Here is a 13,574-nt window from a genome sequence, read left to right as displayed (position 1 = left end):
AATTTTAATGTATATTTATTGGAGTACCAGTGAGGAAGAACACCTTCCATGTCCACTATTCGTAAGTTTTTTTCCTTCCCTTGTATAACAGCCTGAATAATGGCCCCATAAATATGTTCATGACCTAATCTCTGGAACTTGCAAGTGTTACAGCAAAAGGGATTCTATGGATGTGACCAAATTAAAGGGTCTGAGATCTTGTTGGGACTAACATAATCACAGTGGTCTGAAAAGAGGGGCATAGATGGTGTGAGAGTTAGAGGAAGAGGTGATGTGATGATGGAAGCTGAGAGGAGAGGGATGCACTTCGAAGATGGAGAAGGGAGGTACAAACCAAGGAGACAGGTGGCCACAAGAAGCTGAAAAAGATAAGAAATCCCCTCAGAGCCTCAGAAAGAAACCAGCCCTGTCAGCACTTCTACTTTAGCTCACTGAGACTGATTTTGGACATTGACCTCCATTACTGTAAGAAATACATATGCATTGTCTTAAGCCACTATGCTTGTGTTAATTTGCAACAATCTTGTGAAATCTTTTGTTATTGAGATATTTTGCTTATTGACTTGCAAAATATCTGGGTATATGAGGCCAATAACTTTTTTTTGTAAACAACTTCAGTAAGGTATTATTGAAACACCATAAAGAGCACATACTTAAAGTGTACCATGTGACAAGTTTTGACATATGCATATATCCACGAAATCATCACTATAATCAAGACAGTGAAACTAACCATCACACCCAAAATGTCTGAGTACCACTTTATATTTCATCCCTACCCCACTTACCTGCCCACCCTCTTCAGGTAACCACTGGTCTTCCTGTCACTACAGATTAGTTTGCATGTTGAAGAGTTGTATGTAGGGAACCATACGTAACATAATTTATTTTTCACATTTCCAGTGCCTTCAAATAGTTGTTTTTAAAATATTTTGTCTAGAGTTTAATAATTGTTATCTCCTGGCAAATAGTTGATAATTTGTTATTATTGAAAGCTGAACTTTAGCAGAATTATTACAATAACAAATCCCTGCAGGGTAGGTTCTTCAGAGTGACAGTGTGTGATTTCATCCTGAAAACTATGCATAGAAATCGACAAATTTTAGATGTTATTTAAATTTGTGTTTTAGAACTGTATCATGTTAGCAGCATTATGAATAGGCAGATTTGAAGGCCTGTTATCAGTGCAGTCCTCAGGATAGATTTTCTTCTTAGCTGCATCTCTGTATATCTAAGAATTTACTGAACAACTCCGATGAGTATCCCAACAGCACTTTGAATTTATCATGTCCAAATTTGACTCATTAGCTTTTCCTCCAAATATTCTCTATCTCAGTTGGTTTCCATGACCATTTATTCAGTCACCCATGCTACAGACTAAGAGGTCATTCTTGCCTCAATCTCCTTCTTTATTACCGTATCAAATGCAGTTAGGGACGGGAGAAGCCTTATAATTGCAAGGAAAGCCTCTGAATGTGTTATAGGGCTCAGAAGGGGTTATGGAAATGAATGCTTTGTGGCTGGCTCCATACTCAGCCAAGGGAAGGAGCCAAGGAAGAAGACTGGATTTATCATATGGAATGAATTGTGTGATGCAAGTTTTAGAGAAGAAAAAAAAAAAGCCTGAATTCCCAGGACGAGGAATGATTGCAAGTAAAAATAGAGCATTTGGGAACATACCAGCACTGTAGTATGGCCATGGGCCTGAACAAGGGAAGTTCCCCAGGTGGGGAGGATATGACAGTTAGACAAACGAGTATATATAGAACATCAAGATGAAAATGTATAAGGGTAGGAGCATGGGAGAAATGTGACAAAAAAAAAGGAAAGAAAAACAGTGTTGCTGTATTGGAAGGAATTCAATACATTGTATGTATGATAAGGCAACAAGTTACCAACAGAGATTTAAATAAAAATATTAATTGGACCATATTTGTTGTTGTTTGGTTTTCATTGTTTTATTAATGAAAATTATCGTATCCTGTTGGCAGTTTGTAGGATTGGATGTGGTGGGTGGAGAAATTAAAGTGTTAAAAATACTGTCAGAGGACTCTTGTAATAGTCTATGAGAGAGGATGCTGCTCTCTAAATAGACTCAGTGGTTATGAAGTAGAATGAAGAATCCAAGCAAATTTTAGACATCCTTCTGAAGTAAAATTAAAAGGGGGATAAACTTAGGTATTGGTGAAGAGGGAAAGAGAAGGATAAAAATGACTTCAAGTTTTCTGGTTTACATAGTTATTTGATTTAGAGCATAGGGTTAAAGATTGCTTTAAACATATTGTAAAGCCTGGTGATCATTTTCAATTAGTAGCTGAATCTGAAGCCAAGATGAAAACATAGACTTTTATGTCCTCAGTAGCTGTCATCAATAAGAAACTAAATGCTCATCTTGTGTATTAATTCAAGCAAATTGGTAGTGCCTACCTGAAAGCCGTGCTGGGTTTGAATTTACTTCCAGGTTCAGTGAAAAACAATACATGTTTGGCAGCTTCCATAATGGGTAGAAAGTGGGTGGTAGCAGCATGTATCTCAATTCTAATCATCGTTACAGCATTAAGAGTACAAGAAGAAAAGGGCGTCTAGGACAGAATTGCTTTAATTAAATTTTTATTGACAAATTGTAATTGTACATATTTATGGGGTACAAAGTGATGTTATTATATAGAGAGATATATGTATAGTGTGCAAAGACTGAATCAAGTACCATATCCAGCACCTTAAATACTTATTTATTCCATATGTCTAACTGCAACTTTGTACTTTTTAGCCATCATTCCCTCATTTTCCCTCCCCCCAGCCTCTGCTAACCATCATTCTACTCTTCTTCTGTGAGTTTGCTTTTTAAAAATTTTATACATATAAGTGAGGTCATACAGTATTTGTCTTTCTGTGACTGGTTTGTTTCACTTAGAGTAATTTTCTCCTGGCTTATCCATGTTGACCCAAATGACAGAATTCCCTTCATTTTGAAGGCTGAATATTATTGTGTTGTGTAGACATACCACATTTTCTTTATCCATTCACCCATTAGTTGACACTTAAGTTGATCATATAACTTGGCTATTGTAAATAATGCTGCAATAAATATGGAAGCAGAGATATGTCTTCAACTTAGTGATTTCATGTCCTTTGAATATATACCCAGAAGTGAGATTGCTAGATCCTGGGGCAGAATTTTTTGTACAGCAATATTTAAAGTGATGGATAGAGAAGAAATGCAAAATAAAAGGGCAGTAGGAATTAAGGTAAAGAGAATAAGAGCAAAGTCAAGGGAAAAAATTTCTTTTCTAGAAAAGGGAATAGGAAAAATCTCAACAGTGAGTAGGATGAACTCTACACTGGATCTTATAGAGACCATAGGCCCTAATAATAGTTTCAGTTCCAACTCTAAAATCTATAACTATTCCATTCTTTCAAAGCTTAAGGAAATTTTTTCCTGTAGGATTTTCTATACAACCTGTCACTGGATCCCTCCAAGACTTCTAAAATCAGCACAGGAAGCTGTAGGAAAATAAATTCTAAGTGCTAAGTAACTGTATTTCAGTTAAACTTTGGTGATAAAATCTATTTCTCAGTTGATCTTATCAATTGAGAGCAGCCTGATATTATTAATATTGTATCTTCATATTGGGGGATAATTTTAATGATGCAAATATGGTGGTTGATATTTATAAATAGCAATAATCAATAGCTATTGTGCAATCAATATTGTGCTACAGTAATATGACACTAGAAGACATGGTAAAGCAGTCAGATGCTTGTAGCTAGAGGTAGAAGCACCTTGTAAAGACTGATATGGATTATTGCATTAGTGGTCAAATTTCACAAGTGGCACTCTTACAAGGGACACGATGTTCTGAAATGTCAAACAAGTCTTAGTAAAGCTCCATTTAAAACAAAGAAGTTTTTCCTTCTATTTATAGAATAGTCACATTCTAGAAATGTAATGGTTTTAAATGGTTCCAATACATTCTGTTTATATGTTAAATGGTTTAGGTTCTTGAATTAGATATATGTCTATATATTTATATAAGCATAATAGATAATATTAATGTAATAAATAATTATATAAATTTCTGTATTGGTTGGTCCTATTTGAATGTCCAGTGAGACTTCTGAAAATTATGAGGCTGAGAACAATTCTTTTTACAGGACTATCCTGGCTCCTTCCTACTAAACACCCACAGCACACTCCAATGCTATGAATAATAGTCCCCCATAAATTTAAAAAATACTCCCTAGTGAACCGTACTGTCCCCATTGAGAACCACTACTGGAGAGGATGGCTTACCTACATGCCAGCTGAGGTTTTTCTGCCTCTTAAGATAGAAACATCGGATTCACAGTTCATAGAGGTCCTTTGTACTCAAAGTGTTGATGAGAATTTCCAGGTGTAGGGTGGAGGGTTGGTGCTTACTTTCTCAGGTCACCCGTGTCTCTAAAGGACTGCTTCTGCTGAATTAGTCCACTTTGCAGGTGATCATTCCATCCTTTGGCACCATCTCTGTTCCATACCTTTTCAACCTGTAAATGAAATGTCACCATGTTCTTCAGTTTATAGAAGAGATTCTCACCCCACCCTTCCCAGAATGTATTTTTTTTAAGATAGATTTGACCGAAGTTTTGGTGAACAACATGGCCAAGACATAAACAACTTTTATTCAATATTCACATTAGAAATCTGTTTTAATGGCCTTCTTTGTCTCTTTTCATCTTTGTTGGTTTAAAGTCTGTTTTATCAGAGACTAGGATTGCAACCCCTGCCTTTTTTTGTTTTCCATTTGCTTGGTAGATCTTCCTCCATCCCTTTACTTTGAGCCTATGTGTGTCTCTGCACTTGAGATGAGTTTCCTGAATACAGCACACTGATGGGTAGAACACATGGACACAGGAAGGGGACTGTTGTGGGGTGGGGGGAGGGAGAGGGATAGCACTAGGAGATACACCTAATGCTAAATGACGAGTTAATGGGTGCAGCACACCAACATGGCACATGTATACATATGCAACAAACCTGCATGTTGTGCACATGTACCCTAAAACTTAAAGTATAATAATAATAAAATAAAATAAAATAAAGAAATACTGTTTTAAGAAATTCAACATCTACCCCTCAATGCTTTCTCTTCTCTCTGCTTTTACTAATCTCTAATTTACTAATAATTTCTAATAAAGAGCCATAAGATGAGTGTAATTGTGTGTGTGTGTGTGTATGTGTGTGTCTGCATACTCATAGCCTCACCTTCTATCACATTTATTCAGACTGGTATTTTCTGATGCTCACTAGTAGGAATATCTACCTTCCTGATATTCCCATTAACAGGAGGATTATGTTCAAATCTGCATTTTTATTTGACTCACTGAACAAAACTGCCAGTTTCTAGAAAGGTGTCCTTTGATTTGAATGCCTTAAGGTCAGGCAGGCCATGTAAGTGTGTTCAGCTGCGTGTCCATAACTCAATAGGGTACGACAGTTACTGTGGGGAACAAAAGGGGAGCTCTCTGCATTAACAACCAGAGGTACCAAAACAAAACTGATTTAAAAGTCTTCATTCATCACCAATTTATGTCCCCTGTGCTGTCACTTTTGTTTCTTACACATATAAATATAACACTGAATATAGTTGCCATTAATAGTAAAAGTTCATGACACTGGAGAGAACTCTGACCAGAAGATAAGGAGTCTAGGCCCAACTTAAAAGGGCCTTGAAGCCCAGGGTGCACCCAGGAACACCTTCTGGTACTTGTGCCTCCTGGAATCACTGGGTTAATGGAATAAGGGCAAAGTCCTTTCTGGCTTGCAGAGACTTAGGAGAATTTATGGAATGTAGGAGTAGTAGTCTGCGAGTAGGTCATGTTATTTTCCAATTCCACCCTGAGAAATAAGTTATAATAACAGTTTATATAGGCTACATCTGTCATCTTAAATGTATTATAGCATCTTTTCAGCTGAAATGTCTCCTGAAATAATAAGAAGTAATTTCAATGTGATACAGGAAAAATGAACCTGAAAAATTGACCTTCAATTTCTAATTTAGAGATGGCTCTCAAGAGCCTTCTTGAAGTGATCTTATCATCTGTAGGTGGACTCTAGGTAGCTATGGGCATTTATCATCCAACTATTGGGAAAAGAAAGGTCTTTAGTTGTATTTGGTACCATTCAGTATGGTGACACCATGGTTATCAGGCTTAGATCCACAGAGATCATGTATAGATCCCTCTACCAGCTAGCATCAGAATCAAGATAAATACCCACTTACGAGTATCCTTAGTGTCCTTACCTCTGTGTTTAGGTTTAAATCTTGCATAATAGAAGACCAGAAAACAAAAGAATAAAGCCTCTACAAGTCGTTTTTATCGTGTATCCAGGGTTAGGCAACCTGAAAGCACCGTGAGATCAAACAGGTCAGAGGAACACTTTTGCTCTTTGTGGAAACCAGTACCGAGGGACCCCAGAAATGCACTTTGTCTGGACGGTGGGAGGCCAGGAGGCAGTGCAGGAGTAGAACTGTGAGAACTGAGGCTGGAGAAATAGGTCAAGATCAGAAACTGGAGCACCAAGAATGCCAGGCTAAGTACATGGTGAGCCACTGGGAGTTTTTGAACTTGGAGTATTTATAACTAAAATTGTGCTTTAGAAAAAATTAATGGAGGGAGGAGCCAAGATGGCCGAATAGGAACAGCTCCAGTCTACAGTTCCCAGCATGAGCAACGCAGAAGACGGGTGATTTCTGCATTTCCATCTGAGGTACTGGGTTCATCTCACTAGGGAGTGCCAGACAGTGGGCGCAAGCCAGTGGGTGCACGCACCGTGTGCGAGCCGAAGCAGGGCGAGGCATTGCCTCACCTGGGAAGCGCAAGGGGTCAGGGAGTTCCCTTTCCGAGTCAAAGAAAGGGGTGACGGACGCACCTGGAAAATCGGGTCACTCCCACCCGAATACTGCGCTTTTCTGACTGACTTAAAAAACGGCGCACCACGAGATTATATCCCACACCTGGCTCGGAGGGTCCTACGCCCACGGAATCTCGCTGATTGCTAGCACAGCAGTCTGAGATCAAACTGCAAGGCGGCAGTGAGGCTGGGGGAGGGGCGCCCGCCATTGCCCAGGCTTGATTAGGTAAACAAAGCAGCCTGGAAGCTCGAACTGGGTGGAGCCCACCACAGCTCAAGGAGGCCTGCCTGCCTCTGTAGGCTCCACCTCTGGGGGCAGGGCACAGACAAACAAAAAGACAGCAGTAACCTCTGCAGACTTAAATGTCCCTGTCTGACAGCTTTGAAGAGAGCAGTGGCTCTCCCAGCACGCAGCTGGAGATCTGAGAACCGGCAGACTGCCTCCTCAAGTGGGTCCCTGACCCCTGACCCCTGAGCAGCCTAACTGGGAGGCACCCCCCAGCAGGGGCACACTGACACCTCACACGGCAGGGTATTCCAACAGACCTGCAGCTGAGGGTCCTGTCTGTTAGAAGGAAAACTAACAAACAGAAAGGACATCCACACCGAAAACCCATCTGTACATCACCATCATCAAAGACCAAAAGTAGATAAAACCACAAAGATGGGGAAAAAACAGAACAGAAAAACTGGAAACTCTAAAACGCAGAGCGTCTCTCCTCCTCCAAAGGAACGCAGTTCCTCACCAGCAACAGAACAAAGCTGGATGGAGAATGACTTTGACGAGCTGAGAGAAGAAGGCTTCAGACGATCAAATTACTCTGAGCTACGGGAGGACATTCAAACCAAAGGCAAAGAAGTTGAAAACTTTGAAAAAAATTTAGAAGAATGTATAACTAGAATAACCAATACAGAGAAGTGCTTAAAGGAGCTGATGGAGCTGAAAACCAAGGCTCGAGAACTACGTGAAGAATGCAGAAGCCTCAGGAGCTGATGCGATCAACTGGAAGAAAGGGTATCAGCAATGGAAGATGAAATGAATGAAATGAAGAGAGAAGGGAAGTTTAGAGAAAAACGAATAAAAAGAAATGAGCAAAGCCTCCAAGAAATATGGGACTATGTGAAAAGACCAAATCTACGTCTGATTGGTGTACCTGAAAGTGATGGGGAGAATGGAACCAAGTTGGAAAACACTCTGCAGGATATTATCCAGGAGAACTTCCCCAATCTAGCAAGGCAGGCCAACGTTCAGATTCAGGAAATACAGAGAACGCCACAAAGATACTCCTCGAGAAGAGCAACTCCAAGACACATAATGTCAGATTCACCAAAGTTGAAATGAAGGAAAAAATGTTAAAGGCAGCCAGAGAGAAAGGTCGGGTTACCCTCAAAGGGAAGCCCATCAGACTAACAGCGGATCTCTCATCAGAAACCCTACAAGCCAGAAGAGAGTGGGGGCCAATATTTAACATTCTTAAAGAAAAGAATTTTCAACCCAGAATTTCATATCCAGCCAAACTAAGCTTCATAAGTGAAGGAGAAATAAAATACTTTACAGACAAGCAAATGTTGAGAGATTTTGTCACCACCAGGCCTGCCCTAAAAGAGCTCCTGAAGGAAGCACTAAACATGGAAAGGAACAACCGGTACCAGCCGCTGCAAAATCATGCCAAAATGTAAAGACCATCGAGACTAGGAAGAAACTGCATCAACTAACGAGCAAAATCACCAGCTAACATCATAATGACAGGATCAAATTCACACATAACAATATTAACTTTAAATGTAAATGGACTAAATGCTCCAATGAAAAGACACAGACTGGCAAATTGGATAAAGAGTCAAGACCCATCAGTGTGCTGTATTCAGGAAACCCATCTCACGTGCAGAGACACACATAGGCTCAAAATAAAAGGATGGAGGAAGATCTACCAAGCAAATGGAAAACAAAAAAAGGCAGGGGTTGCAATCCTAGTCTCTGATAAAACAGACTTTAAACCCACAAAGATCAAAAGAGACAAAGAAGGCCATTACATAATGCTAAAGGGATCAATTCAACAAGAAGAGCTAACTATCCTAAATATATATGCACCCAATACAGGAGCACCCAGATTCATAAAGCAAGTCCTGAGTGACCTACAAAGAGACTTAGACTCCCACACATTAATAATGGGAGACTTTAACACCCCACTGTCAACATTAGACAGATCAACGAGACAGAAAGTCAACAAGGATACCCAGGAATTGAACTCAGCTCTGCACCAAGCGGACCTAATAGACATCTACAGAACTCTCCAACCCAAATCAACAGAATATACATTTTTTTCAGCACCACACCACAGCTATTCCAAAATTGACCACATAGTTGGAAATAAAGCTCTCCTCAGCAAATGTAAAAGAACAGAAATTATAACAAACTATCTCTCAGACCACAGTGCAATCAAACTAGAGCTCAGGATTAAGAATCTCACTCAAAGCCGCTCAACTACATGGAAACTGAACAACCTGCTCCTGAATGACTACTGGGTACATAATGAAATGAAGGCAGAAATAAAGATGTTCTTTGAAACCAACGAGAACAAAGACACAACATACCAGAATCTCTGGGACGCATTCAAAGCAGTGTGTAGAGGGAAATTTATAGCACTAAATGCCCACAAGAGAAAGCAGGAAAGATCCAAAATTGACACCCTAACATCACAATTAAAAGAACTAGAAAAGCAAGAGCAAACACATTCAAAAGCTAGCAGAAGGCAAGAAATAACTAAAATCAGAGCAGAACTGAAGGAAATAGAGACACAAAAAACCCTTCAAAAAATCAATGAATCCAGGAGCTGGTTTTTTGAAAGGATCAACAAAATTGATAGACCACTAGCAAGACTAATAAAGAAAAAAAGAGAGAAGAATCAAATAGACACAATAAAAAATGATAAAGGGGATATCACCACCGATCCCACAGAAATACAAACTACCATCAGAGAATACTACAAACACCTCTACGCAAATAAACTAGAAAATCTAGAAGAAATGCATAAATTCCTCAACACATACACTCTCCCAAGACTAAACCAGGAAGAAGTTGAATCTCTGAATAGACCAATAACAGGAGCTGAAATTGTGGCAATAATCGATAGTTTACCAACCAAAAAGAGTCCAGGACCAGATGGATTCACAGCTGAATTCTACCAGAGGTACAAGGAGGAACTGGTACCATTCCTTCTGAAACTATTCCAATCAATAGAAAAAGAGGGAATCCTCCCTAACTCATTTTATGAGGCCAGCATCATTCTGATACCAAAGCCGGGCAGAGACACAACCAAAAAAGAGAATTTTAGACCAATATCCTTGATGAACATTGATGCAAAAATCCTCAATAAAATACTGGCAAAACGAATCCAGCAGCACATCAAAAAGCTTATCCACCATGATCAAGTGGGCTTCATCCCTGGGATGCAAGGCTGGTTCAATATACGCAAATCAATAAATGTAATCCAGCATATAAACAGAGGCAAAGACAAAAACCACATGATTATCTCAATAGATGCAGAAAAAGCCTTTGACAAAATTCAACAACCCTTCATGCTAAAAACTCTCAAGAAATTAGGTATTGATGGGACGTATTTCAAAATAATAAGAGCTATCTATGACAAACCCACAGCCAATATCATACTGAATGGGCAAAAACTGGAAGCATTCCCTTTGAAAACTGGCACAAGACAGGGATGCCCTCTCTCACCACTCCTATTCAACATAGTGTTGGAAGTTCTGGCCAGGGCAATTAGGCAGGAGAAGCAAATAAAGGGTATTCAATTAGGAAAAGAGGAAGTCAAATTGTCCCTGTTTGCAGACGACATGATTGTATATCTGGAAAACCCCATTGTTTCAGCCCAAAATCTCCTTAAGCTGATAAGCAACTTCAGCAAAGTCTCAGGATACAAAATCAATGTACAAAAATCACAAGCATTCTTATACACCAACAACAGACAAACAGAGAGCCAAATCATGAGTGAACTCCCATTCACTATTGCTTCAAAGAGAATAAAATACCTAGGAATCCAACTTACAAGGGATGTGAAGGACCTCTTCAAGGAGAACTCCAAACCACTGCTCAAGGAAATAAAAGAGGATACAAACAAATGGAAGAACATTCCATGCTCATGGGTAGGAAGAATCAATATCGTGAAAATGGCCATACTGCCCAAGGTAATTTACAGATTCAATGCCATCCCCATCAAGCTACCAATGACTTTCTTCACAGAATTGGAAAAAACTACTTTCAAGTTCATATGGAACCAAAAAAGAGCCCGCATCACCAAGTCAATCCTAAGCCAAAAGAACAAAGCTGGAGGCATCACACTACCTGACTTCAAACTATACTACAAGGCTACAGTAACCAAAACAGCATGGTACTGGTACCAAAACAGAGATATAGATCAATGGAACAGAACAGAGCCCTCAGAAATAATGCCGCATACCTACAACTATCTGATCTTTGACAAACCTGAGAAAAACAAGCAATGGGGAAAGGATTCCCTATTTAATAAATGGTGCTGGGAAAACTGGCTAGCCATATGTAGGAAGCTGAAACTGGATCCCTTCCTTACACCTTATACAAAAATCAATTCAAGATGGATTAAAGATTTAAACGTTAGACCTAAAACCATAAAAACCCTAGAAGAAAACCTAGGCATGACCATTCAGGACATAGGCATGGGCAAGGACTTCATGTCCAAAACACCAAAAGCAATGGCAACAAAAGACAAAATTGACAAATGGGATCTAATTAAACTAAAGAGCTTCTGCACAGCAAAAGAAACTACCATCAGAGTGAACAGGCAACCTACAAAATGGGAGAAAATTTTCGCAACCTACTCATCTGACAAAGGGCTAATATCCAGAATCTACAATGAACTCCAACAAATTTACAAGAAAAAAACAAACAACCCCATCAAAAAGTGGGCGAAGGACATGAACAGACACTTCTCAAAAGAAGACATTTATGCAGCCAAAAAACACATGAAGAAATGCTCATCATCACTGGCCATCAGAGAAATGCAAATCAAAACCACAATGAGATACCATCTCACACCAGTTAGAATGGCAATCATTAAAAAGTCAGGAAACAACAGGTGCTGGAGAGGATGTGGAGAAATAGGAACACTTTTACACTGTTGGTGGGACTGTAAACTAGTTCATCCATTGTGGAAGTCAGTGTGGCGATTCCTCAGGGATCTAGAACTAGAAATACCATTTGACCCAGCCATCCCATTACTGGGTATATACCCAAATGACTATAAATCATGCTGCTATAAAGACACATGCACACGTATGTTTATTGCGGCATTATTCACAATAGCAAAGACTTGGAACCAACCCAAATGTCCAACAATGATAGACTGGATTAAGAAAATGTGGCACATATACACCATGGAATACTATGCAGCCATAAAAAATGATGAGTTCATGTCCTTTGTAGGGACATGGCTGAAATTGGAAATCATCATTCTCAGTAAACTATCGCAAGAACAAAAAACCAAACACCGCATATTCTCACTCATAGGTGGGAACTGAACAATGAGATCACATGGACACAGGAAGGGGAATATCACACTCTGGGGACTGTTGTGGGGTGGGGGCAGGGGGGAGGGATAGCATTGGGAGATATACCTAATGCTAGATGACAAGTTAGTGGGTGCAGTGCACCAGCATGGCACATGTATACATATGTAACTAACCTGCACAATGTGCACATGTACCCTAAAACTTAAAGTATAATAAAAAAAAAAAAGAAAAGAAAAAAAAAAAAGAAAAAATTAATCTGGAATGGATGTTAGAAATAGATGAGCATTTCACATTGATAATATTCTCAGAACAATTGGTTAACTCTGCATTTTGACCGTGTAGCTACTATTTAATTATGCTGAATGGTATAGGGTTATATTTTAACTTATAAAGTTATTCCATAAAGAACTGGAGGAAAAATGTGGTTGAAAGGCTACCATAGTAATCGAAACTCTATCATCAACATGCCACTAATGACTTTTTTTTTTAGCTTGTCTGCTAAAATCTGTAAAATTTTAAACTAACTACTTACCAGTTTAATTATACTCAAAATCTATTTTCAAAAAGGATGCAAGTTAGCTTAAATTGGAATATAGTTTTAGTAAAATAACAACAAAACTACGATTTTTTTTCTAAGCATTACTTACATGAAATCTCCCTGAACTACGGACTCAAGGGACATATCCACGATGTTCAAATACTAGAGCCACAGGGGGAAAAAAATCAATCTTTTATTTGCTAGATAAGAATTAGGTCAAAGAAAACATGCTTTATATTTTAGTTTCAGTTTAGATTTCTTTTTTAAAAAACTGGGAATCAAAACCATGTGTGACATATCGGGGACAAGCACACATACGCAAACAATGATTTTATTATCCTGCATCATTTCCCCAGGAATAGTCACAGAACATATTACATATCTTGAAAAGGATGAAGCTAATCAGAATTGATCTCTTTAGGCTAATATGAATTAGCACAGTATGTCAGCACAAATCCTATCATTTTGGGAAATCTCAAGATAATAAAATAAATTTTAACTATATGTTCTATAACATTTATAATGCCATTTCCCCAATCTTTGAGCATTGCCATGCTCCTTTTGAGCTTTTGTCTCCAC

At 38.9% G+C, this 13,574-nt stretch overlaps 2 annotated features.

Annotated features, from left to right (window-relative positions):
• Nucleotides 6,368-6,962: an enhancer, noted in NCBI's record as "NANOG-H3K27ac-H3K4me1 hESC enhancer chr8:64715688-64716282 (GRCh37/hg19 assembly coordinates)". NCBI's record gives its function as "activates a minimal SCP1, AML or CMV promoter by ChIP-STARR-seq in naive H9 embryonic stem cells {active_cell/tissue: H9 hESC(naive)}" and the evidence as "EXISTENCE:reporter gene assay evidence [ECO:0000049][PMID:30033119]".
• Nucleotides 6,963-7,558: an enhancer, noted in NCBI's record as "NANOG-H3K27ac-H3K4me1 hESC enhancer chr8:64715092-64715687 (GRCh37/hg19 assembly coordinates)". NCBI's record gives its function as "activates a minimal SCP1, AML or CMV promoter by ChIP-STARR-seq in naive H9 embryonic stem cells {active_cell/tissue: H9 hESC(naive)}" and the evidence as "EXISTENCE:reporter gene assay evidence [ECO:0000049][PMID:30033119]".

Source organism: Homo sapiens, chromosome 8, assembly GCF_000001405.40.
Source record: "Homo sapiens chromosome 8, GRCh38.p14 Primary Assembly".
Lineage (NCBI taxonomy): Eukaryota > Metazoa > Chordata > Mammalia > Primates > Hominidae > Homo > Homo sapiens.
Note: the sequence above shows the minus strand (reverse complement) of the source record. Positions and strands in the feature narration are given on the sequence as shown.